The sequence below is a fragment of the Homo sapiens genome, chromosome 8 (genome assembly GCF_000001405.40).
Source record: "Homo sapiens chromosome 8, GRCh38.p14 Primary Assembly".
In the NCBI taxonomy this organism is placed as follows: domain Eukaryota; kingdom Metazoa; phylum Chordata; class Mammalia; order Primates; family Hominidae; genus Homo; species Homo sapiens.
The window spans coordinates 102,477,268-102,499,047 of record NC_000008.11 but is presented as its reverse complement, the minus strand read 5'-3'; the positions used below and the strand labels follow the sequence as shown (position 1 = coordinate 102,499,047).

At 45.7% G+C, this 21,780-nt stretch overlaps 1 long non-coding RNA gene across 1 annotated transcript in view, besides 1 other annotated feature; it reads right to left on the bottom strand.

Annotated features, from left to right (window-relative positions):
* Positions 1-21,780, bottom strand: part of LOC105375683 (uncharacterized) — a 110,442-nt gene that overhangs the window by 23,733 nt on the left and 64,929 nt on the right. The window lies entirely within an intron of this gene.
* Positions 13,349-13,862: an enhancer, noted in NCBI's record as "H3K27ac-H3K4me1 hESC enhancer chr8:103497414-103497927 (GRCh37/hg19 assembly coordinates)". NCBI's record gives its function as "activates a minimal SCP1, AML or CMV promoter by ChIP-STARR-seq in naive H9 embryonic stem cells {active_cell/tissue: H9 hESC(naive)}" and the evidence as "EXISTENCE:reporter gene assay evidence [ECO:0000049][PMID:30033119]".

Here is a 21,780-nt window from a genome sequence, read left to right as displayed (position 1 = left end):
ATGCAGTGGCAGTAATCCAAAATGTTACATTTACCTTATCATACGATTCCCATTATATAGAGAAACCTCAGAGACTAAATCTCACCAGCAAGTGAAAAGAGTAAGGTCCTGATATTCTAATCAGAAACGGAACATTACAATAACATTTGTTATCAGATCAGAATTACAAAACCATGAACAGAGTAAGAAAAAATATTCATGATTTTAATCTTTGTGACTCTTGTTATAACAATACTACATAGCAATAGTTTCTCAAGAGAAATTTCTCACAATATCAGTGAGGTGATCATTGCAGCTATTTTCCTGGTATGGGTTAATTTCATGGAAATAAGTCCCAATGATGAATGATCATGTTTAAAAGAGAAAAATGCTGATGAGCTGTGTCTTAATTGTACACATTCTTCTTGGGAAATTTTTAACCAAGAAATGAGCACATAAGCATTAAAGGAATATTTAAAGAAACTATTGATTTGAGAAAGTTTGTTTTGGAAGAGCAGTTCTAGATATTAGCAGCTGGGCACAGTGAAATCTAAGTTTCCCAACACAAACGTCAGAAAAGATCCACTTATCCTATCTTACTTGCAATTTCCAGTTCCCTAATAAAAGAGCTTTCTTTTACATTAATTTTTAGTATATAAATAAACTTTTATAAATTAGTAAGAGAAAGCTCCACAACCCCACAGAGGACATGAATAAGCAGTTCACAGAAAAAGAAACACAAATGGCTTTTAAAAATGGAAAATGCTTAAACCAGGCAATTGTTAACTCCGAAAAAATAAAAAGTTTTATAAGAAATGCAATCTGATTCCCAACTTGGCTCAGCAACAGATAATATTTATGTGATATTAATACCCTAAATGATGAATTTAATATACCTATAACTAGCTTACTGAACAAAATGGACTTGAGATGTTCCAGTACAAACCTTTCCATCTCACCTTTTCAGCTCGATGGATAAAATACCAATCTTTGTAGCTTTTCTGAGTACTCTTGGGTTATTAATGAACAGTCTCTTTTTCCCCCAAGGTAACCCAAAGTCCAATTTAGTCTAATATCAGAATACCAAGCTCTTATCCAATTTATAGCTCTCTCCTGCAGCTTGGGCCTGACACAGGCTTGAAGTTTGCAGTGGGCAAGAAGTATGAGTAGGGCAGCCAAATAAAATATAGGATGCTCAGCTAAATGTGAATTCAAGAAAGCAACAAGTACTTTTAATATAATTATGTCCCAAATATGGCATGGGATATACTTATACTAAAAAGGCATTTATTGTTTATCTAAAATTCAAATTAAACTGGGCATCGAGTTATTTTTATTTGCTAAACCTGGCAACCCTCGGTTCAGGGCCAATGTCACTATGTCCCATCTTGCTCACTGTGTTGCCTCTGGCTCCTCTAGGGTTAGAGGCAGACATGGAAAAGATAGACGTGAGGAAAAGGAGAGCTCTTGGCCTGCATGGTTGTCATCTGCATGTGTGCCCTCTTGGTGTATCAGCTGCCCAAGGGTGAGTCATGGGAGCAGGCTCATCACTGGGGATGTTTTAGATGTACTTCCCTTGACCTGGGAGACACCTCATTGGGCTGGCCACTGACAACTGTCCCCTTGGTGCCTGGCTTCTGGTGGCTCACTCTTGGTTGGGGTCACTTTCCATCCTTCCAGAGGGTAGTGTTCGGTGGGTTTTTTGTTGCTGTTGTTGTTGTTGTTTTTTGTTGAGACAGAGTCTCTCTCTGTCGCCCAGGCTGGGGTGCAGTGGCACAATCTTGGCTCACTGCAACCTCTGCGTCCCAGGTTCAAGCGATTCTCCTGCCTCAGCCTCCTGAGTAGCTGGGATTACAGGTGTGTGCCACCATGCCCAGCTAATTTTTTGTTTTGTTTTGTTTTGCTGGGATTACAGGCATGTGCCACCATGCCCAGCTAATTTTTGTTTTTTGTTTGTTTGTTTGTTTTTTGAGATGGAGTCTTGCTCTGTCACTAACTAGGCTGGAGTGCAGTGGCACCATCTCAGCTCACTGCAACCTCCACCTCCCAGGTTCAAGCGATTCTCCTGCCTCAGCCTCTGGAGTAGGTGGGACTACAGGCACATGCCGCCGCGCCCGGCTACTTTTTGTATTTTTCGTAGAGACGGGGCTTCACCATGTTGGCCAGGATGGTCTTGATTTCTTGACCTCATGATCCACCCGCCTCAGCCTCCCAAAGTGCTGGGATTACAGGTGTGAGCCACCGCACCCAGCCTAATTTTTGTATTTTTGGTAGAAATTGGGTTTCATCATGTTGGCCTGGCTGGTCTCGAACTCCTGACCTCAAGTGATCCACCCCCCTTGACCTCCCAAACTGCTGGAATTACAGGTGTGAGCCACCGAGCCCGGCCGGCCTGGTGGAGAATTTCAAAAGCAACCCATTGGCAGCTGTTTACCACAGAATCCAATCAGACCCATAGAAAACCCCGGCAGCCCCTGGAAATGCTGGTCAACCTTGACTCTGTTCTGCTGTGAGGCAGTCTGCTCCAGCCAGCTCCTGGCTTTCACACACCATTTTTTTTTTCAGGTGTGAGTCAGTCAGTGAGTATACTGAGTATGTGACTATCTTCCCAAACTTCAGGAAACGCCTGTCTGACTCTCTGAGGATGCTCTTGAAATCCCCCTCACTAGTTTAGGATGAATGTGAGGAGTCTTTCTCCCACTGCATGTTGAGGATGGGGTAGGAAATGCAGTACTCTGATAACTCTCTCCAGAGCAGTCCCCAGTACTGGCCCTTCAGCCCCCTGCTTAATTCTTGGCCTTCTTTTTTATAGACTAGAGGTAGTCAGTGGCCAAGGCTGGAAGAGTCACTCTGGGGACACCTCATTTGCAAGCCCTACCTGGATTGTCTAGAATTTCTGTGTAGAATGTAGGGGCCCTTTGCACCTATTGTTCTCAGCTTTAGAGTCTCAGTTGGATCTCAAAGGTTTAAAATTCTATTTTAACAACCTATTACATAACTAAAAATAGTTATATAATCATACTGTGAAGATGACAAAAGGGTGTGTGTGTCTGTGTGTGTGTGTGGAGGGTGTGGGGTGTCATAAACCAAAATCCTCATCTATCATAACAGGGAGACAGAAGAGAGTTTGTGAAACTGATAAATCAGGATGTGGCAGTGTAAGCACAGCATTTAGAAAGATAGAGACAAACAGCAGAAGGAGGACCTGAGTAACTGCAAACGCTTGCCTTTGGGAAGTGAGACTAGGGGATTGAACAAGAGTAGGGGAAGACGCTGCTATTTTTCATTGCAAGCCTTTAGTAGTATTACATTTTTTTAACAATGTATTATTTTGATAATAACAAAACTATTTAAGTGATAAATTTTGCCAAAGCCACAAAGAAAATATTATGCAGTCGTTACAAAGAATGAGGCAGGTCAGGCACAGTGGCTCATGCCTGTAATCCTAGCATTTTGGGAGGCTGAGGCAAGCAGATCACCTGAGCCCAGGAGTTTGAGAACAGCCTGGGCAATGTGGCAAAACCCCCTCTCTACAAAAAATAGAAAAATTAGCCAGGCGTGATGGCTCACACCTGTAGCCCCAGCTAATTGGGAGGCAGAGATGGGAGGATTGCTTAAGCCCACGAGGAAGGAGTTGCAGTGAACTGAGATCACATCACTGCCCTGCAGCCTGGGTGACAGAGCAAGACCCTGTCTCAAAAGAAAAAAAAAAAAAGAATGATGTATATCTATGTAATAAGAATAGCTAACACTTATATAGTATTTCATGAATATCAGGCATAGTCTTAGATTCTGGGCCTATACTAATTCATTTAATGTATGTATATTGGTTTCCTAGGATTGCTGTCACAAAGTACAATAAACTGGGTAACTGGGTGGCTTAGAACAACAGAAAGATATTGTCTCACAGTTCTACAGGCTAGAGTCAGAAATCAAGGTGTTGGCAGGCTCACGCCCACTCTGACCTGAAGGCGAAGGATCCTTTCTTGCTTCATCTAGCTTCTAGTAGCCGCAGACGTTCCTTGTCTTGTGGCAGCATAAATCCAGTATTCACATGGTATTCTCCCAGTGTGCATGTCTGTGTGTCTGGTCCAAATTTCCCCTTTTTCTAAGGACACCAGTCATATTGGATTAGGGCTCACCCTAATGACCTCATTTTAATTTGACTACTTCTGCAAAGACCCTATTTCCAAATAAAGTTACCTTCTAAGATACAGAAGATAAGGACTTTAACATATCTTTTTTGGGAAGCACAATTCAACCCATAACACCATGCAAGAAAAGGAAATTGCAGCACAAAGAAATGAGGTCATTTGCCCAAAAATGCATGGCTAGTTAATGGTGGTACTCGAGTTTAAACCCAGGAAGTCTGGCTCCCAAGCCTTGTGCTCTTAACCACTAGACCACGCTGTCTATCTCCATTAAGTGCTCAAAGCAAGATGAGAACAGTGTACCGAGTATGATATCATTGTGTGAAAAGAAACTGGGGATGACTATGACATACATGTTTGCATATGCACAGAACATCTTTGGAAGAAGGCCCAAGAAACGGGCAGTAGGTCACCTCTAGGGAGGGAAATTTGGGGAGAGAGGAATGAGCTTTTTCTTTTATATATATATACATGTAATACTTTGAAGTTTGCTAGTTGTTTTGTTTATTTGTTTCCAAAGGCAGGAATTAATTTAAAATAGTTAAATTTAAAATGAAAACAAGAGGGATGTTCTGAGCAAGGTGCAGCGAGCGGTTCATGCCCGTAATCCCAGCACTTTGGGAGGCAGAGGCAGGAGGATCACTTGAGCCCAGGAGTTCAAGACTAGCCTGGGCAACATAGGGAGATCCTGTCTCTACCAAAAAAAAAAAAAAAAAAATTAAGAATTAGCCAGGAGTGGTGGTGCATACCTGTAGTCCCAGCTACTGGGGGGCTGAGGTGGGAGGATCGCTTGATGCTGGGAGGTCGAGGCTGCTGTGAGCTATGTTTGTGCCACTGCACTACAGCCTAGGTGACAGAACGAGGCCCACATCTCAAAAAAAAAATAGGGGTGTCCTTTTATTAATGCTATCACCCTAGACTACAGGGGCTACTCAGACTTTTGGAAGAAATCTATTTTGGGGGGAATGATCTAAGCATTGGTTCCCAGACACATTTTTTTTTTTTAAAGACAGGGTCTCACTCTTGTCACCCAGGCTGGAGTGCAGTGGCACAATCATGGCTCACTGCAGCCTTGACCTCCCAAGCTCGGGTGATCCTCCCACCTCAATCTGTTGAGTAGCTGGGACTCCAGGTCCACCCTAACATACCCAGCTATTTTTAAAATATTTTTTGTAAAGGTGGGGTTTCACTATGTTGCCCAGGCTGTCCCAGACAATCTCTTTAATTGCTTTAAAAGACTATTGTGATTCCTTAGTCTTTTCAGGCTGCTATAGCAAAAATATCACAAATTGGGTAGCTTATAAACCATAGAAATCTACTGCTCACAGTTCTGGAGGCTGGGAAGTCCAAGATCAAGGGCATGGCAGACAGAGCATCTGGCGAGGGCTCTCTGGTTCATAGATGATGCCTTCTCCACTGTGTCCTCACGTGGTGGAAGGGGAAAGGAGTCTTTTTGAGAGCACAAATTCCATGCATGAGAGCTCCACCCTCACGACCTAATTATCCCCCAAAGTCCCCACCTTCTAATACTATTGCGTTGCAGATTAGGTTTAAATATATAAATTTTGGGGACACACAGACATTGAGACCATAATAGTGACTACATAACTTTGGAAAGAACTATATAGTGAACTATTATAAAGCCATTAAACTTTACATTTGTTGACAATTTTTTAATGATACTGGGAAATATGTTTATGATAAATATTGTGAACTTGTCTATATAGATAGCCAATTCTCTTAAAAAAATACTAAATAGAAAAAACTCTAAGAAAATATACCTAAATATTAACCATGATTATTTTGGGTGAAGGTAGAAGAATTATGGATAATTGGAGGAGGGTTATACTTTTTGTTAATTTAAGTCAGAAGATAACATTTAAAACATTTCTTAAAATGTGCTAGAAGTGCTTCTGGTGAGCTGGAGTTTTACCCACACTAACAAACACTGACAGGCCCAGAAGAGATTTAGTCACATAAGTGTGTGTGCCTCAGAGATTTTTCTCCTTCAAAAATCAGCCTAGGGCTGGGCGCGGTGGCTCACGCCTGTAATCCCAACACTTTGGGAGGCCGAGGTGGGTGGATCACCTGAGGTCAGGAGTTCGAGACCAGCCTGACCAACACAGCAAAACCCTGTCTCTACTAAAACTACAAAAATTAACTGGGTGTGGTGGCGCATGCCTGCAATCCCAGCTACTTGGGTGGCCGAGGCAGGAGAATCACTTGAATGTGGGAGGCGGAAGTTGCAGTGAACTGAGATCGCACCATCGTACTCCAGACTGGGCAACAAAAGTGAAACTCCGTCTCAAAAAAAAAAAAAAAAAAAAAAATCAGCCTAGGAATCCATTTTCTCATGTAGGCACTTCTACTCTTTACCACTTTCCCTAACTTGGTGCTTCAACAAGATTTTGCAGAAGAATCAATAAAATTTTTCAAACCTCCACTGAGAACCCCAGAGGTACAAGGGGTCCTTTGTAGAAGAAAGTGTACATTTTGAGGTCAAAACCAACTTGATCTGTGTGACTATGGGAAAGTTATTTACATTCCCATGCTTCAGTTTCCTCATTTGTAAAATAGGGATAATTCTTTCATTAATGTAACAAATATTTACCGAGCACCTTCTCTGAGTCATGGAGTGTTCTAGGTGCTGAGAACACAACAGTGATGAAAGAGACAAAGACCGCGTCCGCATGGAGTGCTGAGTGGGGGGCAAGGACTCTTTCATGTGATTGTTGTAAAGATCAAAGGAGCAAATGCGTAACTGAAGAATCAGATGTCTTAACCTGATTTCAGATGTCTGTTTAACCCCAAATCTTCCAAGCTGCTAGGGTCACCCAGTCCTTTACCATTAAATAAAAGTGATACAAACTCCCATTCCTCTGGCAGGGAGAAATACAGCAGCCTCCTCTTATCTTAAGGGTTCTCACAGGACTGCCATTTCTCCTTGTCTCCTCTGACAACATCTATTCTTCCACGGATCACTGCTTTCATCTCAGATCTTCTCTGTGCTGCCCACTTTCAAGAACTGTCTGCCCTGCTGAGGCCATGGCCCCATGCCTGCCCTCCCCAGAAAGGCCAGCCATGGTGGCTCAGATGTCTTCTGAGGGTTCAAGACTACGGAGGAAAATTATAATTCAGGGAAGCACAAAGAAAAAAATCAGAATCAATATGTTATATCCTTGTTCTTCACAATTCCTCAGCCATTCCCAGCACAGTCTACCCTTCTCTTCAAGCGCACACTAGCCTTCCCTCAAGCCACTAAGTTCCCTTTGCCTCTCAGTCGTCATCCCTTCTCTGTCAAGACATCTGCCCCTCACAGTCCAAATCCACTCCTCTTGCTTTTCAAGCAAGGGGAGTGAAGGGAGAAGAGGAGCTGCACCTTTCTTCCCAAAGGGGCCTAAACCCAATATAACATCTCCCCAAGAGGAATTCTGTCTCCAGCTTTCAGAAAAACAACTTTTTTCTCCCTACCATCAATGTAAGTGAAACATTAGGAGCCTGCGGCCGGGCACAGTGGCTTATACCTGTAATCCCAGTGCTTTGGCAGGCCAAGGCAAGAGGATTGTTTGACCCCTGGAGTTTGAGACTAGACTGGGCAACATAGCAAGACCCCATCTCTACAAAGAAACAGTTTTAAAATTAGCCATGCATGGTGGTGTGTGCCTGTAGTCCCAGCTGCTCAGAAGGCTGAGAAAGGAGGATCACTTGAGGCCAGTAGTTCAAGACCAGCCTGGGCAACAGAGCAGTAGCCCCTATCTCTACAAAAAATAAAAATAAATTAGCTGGGCATGGTGGTGCACACCTGTAGCCCTAGCTACTTGGGAAGCTGAAGTGAGAGGATCACTTGAGCCCCAGAGTTCGGGGTTACGATGAGCCATAATTTCACCACTGCACTTCAGCCTGGGTGACAGAATGAGACCCCGAGCCTAAAAAAAGAAATTTAATTTATATTAAATTAAATTTTAAAAAGAAAAGAGCCTGGGACATAGCAGCTCAATAAATTTTAGTCCCCATCCTTTCCCTTCCTGGTGGAGTCAGTCGGCGTGGTTGTACACACCATCCCTCTGAGTCTTTATCTTTAAAATGAGGACCCTGGGGTGTTACTGTAAGGACGGGATCAGTCACTACCTGTAAATACTAAGAACAGAGGCTGGCATGTAAGCCCTCAACCAGTGCTCTTATTGTTATTATCAGCTATGATACTAAGAGCTGCAAATTTTCTGCAAAGGATCAGCTTTTACAGTTGGAAAAGCATTCGTTTCCTTGGACTGCTGTAACAAACTACCACAAACTGGGTGGCTTAAGGTAACAGAAGTCTATTCGTTCATAATTCTGGAGGCCAGAAGTCTAAGATCAAAGTGTCTGCAGGTCCATGCTCCCCCTGAAGTTTCTAGGGGAGAATCCTGCCTTGCCTCTTCCAGCTTCTGGTGGCTCCTGGAAATCGCTGGCATTCCTTGGCTTGTAGATGCATCACTCCAAATTCCCCCTCCATCATCATATGGCCATCTTCCCTGTGTGTGTTTGTGTATCTGTGCGTGTGATTGTGTATGTGTCTGTGTGTGTGATTGTGTATGTATCTGTGTGTATGTGTGTGTGTCTGTGTGTTTGTGTGTGTGTGTCTCTGTGTCTTTTCTTTTTTATTTTTTGAGACAGAGTCTCGTTCTGTCACCCAGGCTGGAGTGCAGTGGCGCAATCTCAGCTCATTGCAAGCTCCACCTCCTGGGTTCACGCCATTCTCCCGCCTCAGCCTCCGGAGTAGCTGGGACTACAGGCACCCGCCACCACGCCCAACTAATTTTGGTTTTGTATTTTTAGTAGACACGGGGTTTCACTGCATTTACCAGGATGGTCTCTATCTCCTGACCTCGTGATCTGCCCGCCTCAGCCTCCCAAAGTGCTGGAATTACAGGCATGAGCCACCGTGCCTGACCTGTGTCCTCTCTTCTTATGAGGACACCAGTCATTTTGGACGTAGGGCCCACCCTAATCCAGTATAATCCCCTTTCAACGAACTATGTCTACAAAGACCCTATTTCCAAATAAGGTCACATCCTGAGGTTCTGGGTGGACGTGAATTTTGGGGGACACTGGTCAGCCTAGCACAGTTGGGAGGGCCAGATCTGAGGCTTAGGCTTCTATGACATACTGCTCAGGCCGGAGTTGTTGGAAGTAGGGGCTGTCAGAGACCTGACTGATGGGTCTTTCCCGTTCTTCCTGGCTCCACCTGCCTCCCGGGCCCAGGGCTGCTTGCTGCATGGACAGTCTTGCCTGCTGCCACCATCACTTCATCTCTGACTGCATGAGCTGTCTGTGCCTTCCCTGAGGGGAGGGCTTGCTCCTGAGCTGCCTCTATCAGGCCTGAACTCCTAAAACCTGGACTCAGAGGAAGTCCTATGAGGCATGACACCTGACCCAGGGTGAGGGGGAGTTTTAACCAGTGAGATATAGGAGACAAGACAGAGCTGGCAGAAACATTCCTTCTTCTTTTTCCCTTCAACAGTTTGGCGCAGGTTGTCCTGTCTGACCAAATGGCTCACTGGGTTTCTCAGGAAGGTAGGGCTGGCAGGGCGCAGTGGCTCATGCCTGTAATCCCAGAGCTTTGGGAGGCTGAGGTGGGAGGATCACTTGAGGCCGGGAGTTTGAGACCAGCCTGGATGACATAGTGAGACCCCCCCATCTCTACAAAAAAAAATTTTTTTTTTGAGACGGAGTCTCGGCCTGTCACCCAGGCTAGAGTGCAGTGGCCTGATCTCGGCTCACTGCAACCTCTGCCTCCTGGGTTCAAGCAATTCTCTGCCTCAGCCTCCTGAGTAGCTGGGATTACAGGCGACCGCCACCACGCCCAGCTAATTTTTGTATTTTTAGTAGAGACGAGGTTTTACCATCTTGGCCAGGCTGGTCTTGAACTCCCGACCTCGTGATCCACCTGCCTCGGCCTCCCAAAGTGCTGGGATTACAGGCGTGAACCACCATGCCCAGCTATAAAAAAATTTTTAAAAGCCAGTTGTGGTGGCCTGCACCTGGGAGGATTGCTTGAGTCCAAGGCTGTAGTCTCAGCTACTCAGGAGGTTGAAGCGGGAGGATCACTTGAGCCCAGGAGTTCAGGGCTGCAGTGAGCTCTGATTGCACCACTGCCTTCCAGCCTGGGCGACAGGGGGAAACCCATCTCTAAAAAAAAATTTAAAATAACCTGGGTGTGGTGGCTCACACCTGTAATCCTAGCATTTTGGGAGGCTGAGGCAGGTGGATCACCTGAGGTCAGGAGTTCGAGACCAGCCTGGGCAACATGGTGAAACCTTGTCTCTACTCAAAATACAAAAATTAGCCAGGCGTGGTAGCAGACGCCTGTAATTCCAGCTATTTGGGAGGCTGAGGCAGAAGAATCACGTGAACTCAGAAGGTGGAGGTTGCAGTGAGCCAAGATGGCACCATTGCACTCCAGCCTGGGCAATAGAGCAAAAACTCTGTCAAAAAAAAAAAAAAAAAAAAGTTTAAAAGAAAAAGAAATACCCTACTCTGTGCTTGCTTTCCTTCCTTCCTGGCCTCCAGTCCCTCTGCTCATTCCTGCTGCCCTAGGATTGTGTCTGTCAATAAAGAATTCGCGCGTAAGTTTTACCTCTGCTTTTTTCTAGAGAACTCAGGCTACCACAAGTGCCCTAGAAAAGAGCCCCTTTAGGACTAACGAGCAAGACCAGGCTTCAGCCAAGGCAAAGACTAACAATTAAAGGAGAAAGCAAGTGGAAGGGTCCACCCAGATCCAGGAATACGCAGAAGCTGGAGGTTCGAGGAGAGCAGAGACCTAGAGCCTGTTTGCTAAGCTCGGCCACTGGGTTACTGAGGTCAAGTCCTGCTCAGCTTCAAGAATGCCAAGCTGGAGCCACACACCAGGGTTGAGGCCAGTGCTCCAGGCTTGGGTGGGGCCCTGGAAGTAGCCAGCAGGCTGGAGCCAGAGTACCCACGCAGGTAAGGAGCACAGGCAGCCCGAACCAGATGACCAGGCTGACGGCGCCCGGGGGAGGCATGTCACAGACAACAGGATTTGTTGGTCAAAACCACACTCTTAATCTCTGAAATGTACCAGTTACAGGTACACTTTGGTTAGAAACCTTAACAGCCTGTTGTGGTGGCTCATGCCTGTAATCCCAGCACTTTGGGAGGCCGAGGTGGGAGGATTACTTAAGCCCAGGAGTTTAAGACAAGCCTGGGCATCATAGTGAGACACTGTCTCTACAAAAAATCAAAAATTTAGCCTGGTATGATGGTGCATGCCAGTAGTCCCAGCTACTCAGTAGTCTGAGGTGGGAGGATTGCTTGAGCCCAGGAGGTCAAGGCTGCAGTAAGCTGTGATTGTGCCACTGCACTATAGCCTGGGCAACTAAAAACAAAATTAGTCTCTAAAAAAAATTACATTACATTACATTTTTTAAAAAAGAGTGTCGGACATATCAGCGGCTCAATAGGTGCTAGTCCCCATTCCTTCTCTTCCTGGTGGAGCAGATCTGCTGCTGACCCTCTTAAAATCAGGGTCCTCGGCCTGGTGCGATGGCTCACACCTGTAATCCCAGCACTTTGGGAGGCCGAGGCCGGTGGATCACCTGAGGTCGGGAGTTTGAGACCAGCCTGACCAACATGGAAAAACCCCATCTCTACTAAAAATACAAAATTAGTCAGGCGTGGTGGCGCATGCCTATAATCCCAGCTACTCGGGAGGCTGAGGCAGGAGAATCGCTTGAACCCGGGAGGCAGAGGTTGCGGTGAGGCGAGATTCTGCCATTGCACTCCAGCCCAGGCAACAAGAGCGAAACTCCATCTCAAAAAAAAAAAAAATCAGGGTCCTCATTTTAAAGATGAAGACCCATCTTTACAGGCATATGCCTGAATGTAATCCCAGCTACCCAGGAGTGAGATGGAGCGAGACCCTGTCTCAAAACAGAACAAAACAACAGGCTGGGTGCGGTGGCTCAAGCCTGTAATCCCAGCACTTTGGGAGGCTGAGGCAGGCGGATCACCTGAGGTCAGGAGCTTGAGACCAGGTTGGCCAACATGGAGAAACACCTTCTCTACTAAAAATACAAAAATTAGCCGGGCACAGTGGTGTGCCCCTGTAATCCCAGCTATGCGGGAGGCTGAGGCAGAAGAATCTCTTGAACCCAGGAGGTGGAGGTTGCAGTGAGCCGAGATCGCACCATTGCACCCGAGCCTGGGTGGCAAGAGTGAAACTTGGTCTCAAAAAAAAAAGAAAAGAAAAGAAAAGAAAAAGTGTGGTTCAGCCCGTAGTTCTTTTTGCCCCAATAAGAGACTGTTGTTGAAAGCCGATTGACCCCTTAGGGTTTACTGCCCTACCCTTACGCCTCTCCATAACTACCACATATTGAGTGTTTCCTATGTGTGTGCCAGCCCACTGTAACTCCTCACCACATGCCATGAGGGAAGAAGCACTAGCTTCAAGAGACAGAGGAGGGAACCAGGGCTCAGGGAAGGTAAGTTACTTGCTGCAGCCACACCATTTTCAAGGGACATACCTAGGTCTTAACCACTACACTCTACCATTTTCCTTAGCTTGAATGAGCCAGGAGGATTTCACCAGAAAAGAAAAGATATATATTGGGAGCCTTAAATATCTGCCTCATTTCCCTGGAGGCAGCATGGAAGGTGGTTAGACACACAGACCTTCAACTCAGAGCGCCGGGGTGTGGGCCCTTGCTCTGCCAGTTACTATCTGTGAAACTTTGAACAAGTTAATGAAATTTTCTGTGTTGGCCTTTTCTCTTCTGTAAAATGGGATGATGAGATGATAATACTAACACTTCCCACATAGGCTGTTGGAAAACTCCAATGATATTGAGAGGTGACGGTGTGCTGGCAGTCCTCACAGCCCTCGCTCGCTCTGGGCACGTCCTCTGCCTGGGCTCCCACTTTGGTGGCACTTGAGGAGCCCTTCAGCCCACCGCTGCACTGTGGGAGCCCCTTTCTGGGCTGGCCAAGGCCGGAGCCCACTCCCTCAGCTTGCAGGGAGGTGTGGAGAGAGAGGCGCGAGCGGGAACCGGGGCTGCATGTGGCGCTTGCGGGCCAGCTGGAGTTCCGAGTGGGCGTGGGCTTGGCGGGCCCCGCACTCGGAGCAGCTGGCCTGCCCTGCCGCCCCGGGCAATGAGGGACTTAGCACCCGGGCCAGCAGCTACGGAGGGTGTACTGGGTCCCCCAGCAGTGCCAGCCCACCGGCGCTGCGCTCGATTTCTCGCCGGGCCTTAGCTGCCTTCCCGCGGGGCAGGCCTCGGGAATGCAGCCCGCCATGCCTGAGCCTTCCCCCGCCTCCGTGGGCTCCTGTGCAGCCCGAGCCTCCCCGACGAGCGCTGCCCCCTGCTCCACGGCGCCCAGTCCCATTGACCACCCAAGGGCTGAGGAGTGCAGGTGTATGGCGCGGGACTGGCAGGCAGCTCCACCTGCAGCCCTGGTGCGGGATCCATTGGGTGAAGCCAGCTGGGCTCCTGAGTCTGGTGGGGCCTTGAAGAACTTTTATGTCTAGCTCAGGGATTGTAAATACACCAATCGGCACTCTGTATCTAGCTCAAGGTTTGTAAACACACCAATCAGCACCCTGTGTCTAGCTCAGGGTTTGTGAATGCACCAATCCACACTCTGTATCTAGCTGCTCTGGTGGGGCCTTGGACAACCTTTGTGTCGATACTCTGTATCTAACTAACCTGATGGGGATGTGGAGAACCTTTGGATCTAGCTCAGGGATTGTAAACGCACCAATCAGCGCCCTGTCAAAACAGACCACTGGGCTCTACCAATCAGCAGGATGTGGGTGGGGCCAGATAAGAGAATAAAAGCAGGCTGCCCAAGCGAGCGGTGGCAACCTGCTCGGGTCCCTTTCCACGTTGTAGAAGCTTTGTTCTTTCGCTCTTTGCGATAAATCTTGCTACTGCTCACTTTTTGGGTCCACACTGCTTTTATGAGCTGTAACACTCACCGCGAAGGTCTGCAGCTTCACTCCTGAAGCCAGCAAGACCAAGAACCCACCGGGAGGAACGAACAATTCCAGACGCGCCGTGGTAAGAGCTGTAACACTCACTGCGAAGGTCTGCAGCTTCACTCCTGAGCCAGCCAGACCAAGAACCCACCAGAAGGAAGAAACTCCGAACACATCTGAACATCAGGAGGAACAAACTCCAGACGCGCCACCTTAAGAGCTGTAACACTCACCGCAAGGGTCCACAGCTTCATTCTTGAAGTCAGTGAGACCAAGAACCCACCAATTCCAGACACAATATGATACATATCAAACACCTAAAGGTGTAGAATGTTTCAGCTGAGCGTGGTAGCGCATGCCTGTAATCCCAACTATGCAGGAGGCTGAGGTGGGAGGATTGCTTGAATTCAAGGCTTGAGTCTAAGACCAACCTGGGCAACAGAGTAAGACCCCGTCTCTGAAAAATAGAGTGTGTGGCACATTGGAGGTTCTGTTGCTAGTCATAGTCATTATTATTAGCATTATTTATCTTCTATCAACTGGCCACAGGATGTAACTCTGCCCTGCAGGCCCAGCCTCAGCTGATCCACAGTGGGCCCATCACTTAGGACTACTCATGCTGGGTACTGCACAACTCAGAAGTGTCATCCATGTAGACTGTGGTGTGAGTAGTGTTGCCTAGTGTGGTGCATGGAAGCCCTCATCACAAAACTTACCTGGTTTCTTGGAGCCATTTCAACTTCTTTCCTCGCTAGCTCATCACATGCCATGGTACTGCTGAAATAACACAGCCCAGGGATAGCTCTCGGCTCAGCTTCACCTCTGCGGGTATGTGTCTCCATGCACTGCTAGCTGGTGCCAGCTAGCATATGACCTCAGATGTCACCAAACTAGTGGTCAGCCCAAAGTTTGGTGCCAGTTCTCCAGAGAGCTGGAGAAGAAGATCAGGCTCCCAGTTCAGAGTCAGTGACCAGCAGCCCTTCCTGGCTTGCATTCCAGAAAAGATTTTTGTGGCATTCTCAAGGAGAGCTACATTAAAAATCAGACTAAAATAAAACTTGCTGTAAAGAATCCATCATGGACTGGAAACACTGATCAAGTCCACCCTTCTGATGCGGCTGGGAGGTTCCCCTCAGCCCAATCATTCTAATAACCAAAGAGTGTTAAAAGGACTGTTGATGTCTACCTATGCTGGATCATCTAATGGAGGAGAAAAAGTAGATTGCAGGCTGGGTGTTGTGGCTCATGCCTGTAATCCCAGCACTTTGGGAAACTAAGGTGGGAAGATCGCTTAATGCCAGGAGTTCAAGACCAGTCTGGGCTGGGCACAGTGGCTCACGCCTGTAATCCCAGCATTTTGGGAGGCCAATACGGGGGGATCACTTGAGGTCAGGACTTCAAGACCAGCCTGTTCAACATGGTGAAACCCCATCTCTACTAAAAATACAAAAATTAGCTGAGTGTGGTGTCATGCGCCTGTAATCCCAGCTACTCGGGAGGCTGAGGCAGGAGAATTGCTTGAACCCAGGAGGTGGAGGTTGCAATGAGCTGAGATCGCACAACTGTACTCCAGCCTGGGCAACAGAGCGAGACTCCTTCTTTAAAAAAAAAAAAAGAAAAGAAAAGAGATCATCTTAGAAAACAAAGTCAGAAGGAAGGAAGGAAGGAAAGAAGAAAAGGAGGGAGGGAGGGGGAGGGGAGAGAGAAAGAAAGAAAAGAGAGAAAGGCAGATTACAGAAAAGTATTGTGTGCTTAATTTCATTTATGTTATGATAATAATGAGTCCGCATATCCCTAGATACATAAAGAAATGTTTGGAAGAATTATAATTATTTGTATAATAAGAACTCTGTAAAAACTGTATGTATCATTTTTATAGCCTAAAAACAAACTATTTTTTAAAAGCAGTTATATACCTATCTTTTGATACGCGTATAACCTTAGGCAAGTTAGCTAACCTCTCTGTCCCTCAGTTTCCTCATTATAAAATGGAGATAACAATAGTTTCTACTTCACGAGACTGCGAGGATTAAGTGTATTAATATATGTGAAGTACGTAGAACAGTGCTTAAAACATTGAAATGTTCAGTGCTATTTGTATTAGGGTTTTACAGGGAAATAGAATCAAAAGAATATTGATAGGTGATAAATCTGACCATATATGTAACTGACAATTAGTTGGCTACTACAGCTAAAAGTCCAGGAGTAAAAATGACTCAGTGATGTAATATTCCAGGAGATATATATAGAGAGAGAGAGAGAGAGATTAATTACAGGAATTGGCTCACAGAATTACAGAGATGAAGTCCCACAATCTGCCATCTGCAAGTTGGGGAACCAAGAAAACCAATCAGAGGGCTTGAGTCCAGGGATGGTTTAAGTATTGGTCTGAGTCCAGAGGCCCCAAAACCAGGAGGATTGAAATCCCAGATCAAACAGAAGGCATATTCACCCTTCCTCTGCCTTTTTATTCTATTCAGGTCCTCAATGAATTGGATGATGCTCACTCAACTGGTGAGGGCAGATCTTTACTCAGTCCACCAGTTCAAATGCTAATCTCTTCCAGAAACACCCTCATAGACATACTGAGAAATCATGTTTTTTGATTGTTTGTTTTTTGTTTGTTTGTTTGTTTTTGAGACAGTTTTGCTCTTGTTGCCCAGGCTGGAGTGCAATGGCATGATCTCGGCTCACCACAACTTCCACCTCCCAGGTTCAATCGATTATCCTGCCTCAGCCTCCCGAGTAGCTGGGATTACAGGCGTGTGCCATAACGCCTGGCTAATTTTGTATTTTTAGTAGAGACGAGGTTTCTCCATGTTGGTCAGGCTGGTCTCAAACTCCTGACCTCAGGTGATCCACCCGCTTCGGCCTCCCAAAGTGCTGGGATTACAGGCGTGAGCCACAGCGCCCAGCAGAAATCATGTTTTACTAGCAGTCTGGGTACTCCTCAGCCCAGTCAAGCTGACACATAAAATTAAATGTCAACTATTATTGTGGTGATGATGACGGTGGTTGGTATTACTTTTATTATCATAACTCCACATCATGCAGTGATGTAGGCAGAAGGGAAATTGCTCAGAACAAAAAAGCCAAATTATTTTTGCAAGGCCATGAGATAGATTAGTGATAGTTGAAAAGAAAGACATCATAACTGCATTGATACATTTCTACTGAGAGCCAAATGGTCTAATATATTAGTTCAACTGACAATTCATTGGCTACTACAGTGAGGTAACTTTCCAAGCAATAACTTTCCAGGAAATGCAGTGATTTTTAGATTGATTAATTTCAAAGAAATATATAAAGGTCATAATGAGATAAGAAATTCTATATGAATTGCCTTTACAATATATTGTAACAGTAACAGTCTGTTTTCTCAGCAGAGACCCATAAATGAGAATCTGGGAGGCTGGGCACAGTGGCTCATGCCTGGAATCCCAGCACTCTGGGAGGCTGAGGCAGGAGGATCGTTTTAGCCTAGGAGTTCAAGGCCAGCCTGGGCAACAGAGCAAAACCCCTGTCTCTAAAAAAATTCAAAATAAAAAAATTAGCCAGGTGTGGTGGCTGACACTTGTAGTCCCAGCTATCAAGAGGCTAAAGCAGGAGGATCCTGAGCCCAGGAGTTCAAGGCTGCACTCCAGCCTGGGCAACAGAGGGAGACCCTGTCTAAAAAAGAAAAAAAAAAAAAGAGAATCTGGGAGGGATGGAAGTGGGTCGATGGGAATGGTGTTGTATATATCAAACCCTTGGATTTTATTTGCAGTGGGGGTCTCTGCTTGGCATGTGTATGTTGTAAATGTGTACAGTTCAGGGCTCTATGCTCTGAAAATGGTTGTGCCCCAGGAGCCCAGTCCTGTTCAGGAAACACTTGCTCTGAGGCTCTCCCTAATTCAGTTCCAGGCTCGCCTGCCTGCTGGCAATGAAGGTACCTAGACTCGAATTCCTGGTTCAGATTCCTTCATCTGATGACAACTAATAAAGGGTGTGGCAGCAAAGGTAAGTCATCATGCAACCTGACTTGAACTAGGGAAGCCAGGTGAAGAAACCAGTGTGCGTCCTTACCATCACTAATGATAAGCCCCTGAATAAGGCTGTCTGCCCACTAAAGATGCAAAACAAGCAAAGATCCGTCATCATTCCACTTAGAGAGATTTAGTGCTTTAGTGCTTAAAATTCCATAGTAAATGTATTCACTTTTCTCTAGCAATGTCAGAGCTAAAAAGGGGAATTATTGTCAGCAGCATAAACAGATTATGCTTATGAACCAAGCCACAAGAAAGGAGTTCATACTTCTTTCTGGTAGATGAATGCTTTGTCACCCCATGTCACCCTATGGCAAAAGTATAACATTCAAAATCAACTGTAGAAAAGAGACAAATACAGATTCTTCAGAGGGGTGAATAAAAACTATTTTCATATACATATGTCAGTTCTTATAAAAACTAGCCAGGTGTGGTGGTACATGCCTATAGTCTTAGCACCTTGGGAGGCTACAGCTAGAGGATTGCTCGAGCCCAGGAGGTTGAGGCTGCAGTAAGCCATGTTTGTGCCACTGCACTCCAGCCTGAGTGACACAGCAAGATCCTGTCTCTAAATAAATAAATAAATAAATAAATATTACATATCAATCTGTTTGAAGTAACATTCAGTTTAGTGAGCTACCGACATGTGCAGGCTCAATGTTGTGTTATTTTATTTACACCGTACTGAGAGTAGGAGCCCCATTTGACACGGACTATGGAAAAAAGCCCACAGCCTCCACCCCTGTAACAATACAGAAGTCATTTTGACCTTGAAGTTTTAGAGCAGGTGTACCAATGACCACGTGGGTCAATAAAAGAAAAATCTTTATTGATTTCAGCTGCACAGCTTCTTGGGGTGGCTTCCAAGATAAATAAGTTGCAAGATATTTGCTTGTCATTATTTGTAGGCTACCAAGCAGCATCCCAAGAGCTTGGAATGAGATGATCCTCTGAGAACTAAACTATAAAATCAAAACATAATGGGTTGGCCAGGCTCAGTGGCCTATAATCCCAGCAATTTGGGAGGCCAAGACAGGCAAATCACTTTAAGCCCAGAAGTTCAAGACCAGCCTGGCCAACATGGCAAAACCCCATCTCTACAAAAAATACAAAAATTAGCCAGGCATGATGGCGCATGCCTGTAGTCGCGTCTACTCTGGAGACTGAGTGGGAAGATTGCTTGAGCTGGGGAGGTGGAGATTGCAATGAGCCGAGATCGCACCACTGCAATCCAGCCGATGTGACAGACTGAGACCCCGTCTCAAAAAACAAACAAAAACCCATAGTGGGTTAAAGTACAAATATGCAAAATCGCCTTTAAAGAAAGAGAATGACACCCAGGCAGGACTTGGCTACCTAGAAAAAGCCTGGAGGGAAACTGGGCAAAGCACAGCCAAGCGCTGCCTAGGGGAGCAGAAATTTCAGCCAACAGCTTTTGAATCTTGACAATTTTTTGCCTAGAAAGGCCATTCCCAATGTGGGGCTAGACATAGGAGATTGTCACCAAGGGAATATAAATGTTTAGATCCCGTAGACAAGACTTTCCCTAATGTGAGCGGTGTGTATCACGCTATGTGTGCCTGATACCATTATAGATTCAATTAATCTAGCAGGACGGTGGCAGTCTGCTAACAAGTGTGTAACAACTCACTGCCAAAAAAAAAATTCAATTAATCTGACTCTTCTTGTTTTCATTCCACGTTGATAAGCAATCTCCTGATGACTCTGGCTCCTCATGTCAGTGTCCCTGCAGAGAAATTCTGTATGGAGAATATGGATGCCATGTATTCCCATCTTCATAACAATTATCTTTGACATTGTAAATGAATTTAATTGTTATTCAGTTTATGATTTTGCTTCCCACACAACTTGACTACAGGGAGAGAATGGGCTGCCTGTGCCCATGCAGATATCTCAGTCTATGGCATCCATTATATTTTGATTTTGTAGCTTAAGTCTCAGTGGGCACCCTCATTTCCTGGTTCTTAGAGACTTCTTTGTAGTCTGAAAGCATTGATGAAAGCAAATATGGAACGTGCCTCTCAGTAAATTAATGCATCGAGTTTTGCTTTTCTATCTAATCTCATAGGCCTGGTGAGTGTAACTGGCAAAACTAGGTTTCTTAGCCTGTAAGACCAAAGACCACCCAGCAGACCATGGAAAATTGCTGGAGGTGACAAGTGCCACCTGAGGCCTCCTAAGAACCAGTCTGCCTGCCTTCCCTAGAGAGGCATACCCCTTGTCTCTGGGTGGACAGTACATGCCCCTTTTCATTTTCTACCCAAGCCACAGACCATGAGTGAACTTACTGGTCTTAGGGGCTTATGTGGGGCAAACTGGGAAAACATTATGGGATATCTGCTCTAAACAGTGAACCTAAAGGCTGGATGCAGTGACTCACGCCTGTAATCCCAGCACTTTGGGAGGCCGAGGCGGGCGGATCACTTGAGGTCAGGAGTTTAAGACCAGCCTGGCCAACATGGTGAAACCTCATCTCTACCAAAAATATAACAAATTAGCTGGGTGTGGTGGCAGGTGCCTGTAATCCCAGCTACTCAGGCGGCCAGGTAAGAGAATCGCTTGAACCCAGGAGGTGGAGGTTGCAGTGAGCCAAGATCGTGCCAGTGCACTCCAGCCTGGGCAACAGAGTGAGACTCAGTCTCAAAACAAAAACAAAAACAAAAACAAAACAAACAAACAAAAAAACAGTGAACTTGGCTTTTGAATAGTTGACCTGAAGCTGTTCTTTCGGGCAATAAAAATGCCTGTTAAGGCCACTCCTGTGTCGTGATAACAAATCTTCATGTGTAGTCTGCATAGAAAAGAATGCTTATCTTTTCATTCTTTCACACTAGAAAGTTATGCATCTAGGTAAGCCAGAACAGGAAAGATAACATTATGCTCTAAGTCTAAGCTAAAGGAGGGGAGGCCAAAACAAAACCATTTTTTTCTGACTGGATATTATTAGCAAATTCTCAAAAGAACCCCCCTGCCTCTCAAGGTGGGTTATGGTGTTGGTGCTTATGAGAATGACTCGTCAGGGCTCATGCTACTTAACTTGGACCTAATTGAGTCATGACCCAAGAAAAGGCCACCACTTCATGTGTGTATGGACAGTGGCTTATAGTGAAATAGTTACACTGAAGACCTCTGGTTCCTCATATTAAGTACTGACCTGAAAACCCCAGACTTCGATTTTTTATAAATCTGTGTAAAAACTGGCTGCCTTTTGCATGGAACATCTAATAAATTAATACATCTGTAATCAGACAGATAAAGGAGTTTTTGGGGTTTTTTGTTATGTTTTGTTGTTGTTGTTTTGTTTGTTGTTGTCATTTTTGAGACAGGGTCTCCCTCTGTCACCCAAGCTGGAGTGCAGTGGCGCCATCTCAGCTCACTGCAACCTCTGTCTCCCGGGCTTAAGTCATCCTCCCACCTCAGCCTCCTGAGTAGCTGGGACTACAGGCACATACCACGAAGCCTGGCTAATTTTGTTCATTTTTTGTAGAGACAAGGTCTCTGTGTGTTGCCCAGGCTGGTCTCAAACTCTTGGGCTCAAGGGATCTTCCCGCCTCTGCTTCCTAAAATGCTGGGATTATAGGTGTGAGCCATTGGGCTTGTCCAAGTTTTCAGTTTATTATTATAATAATTA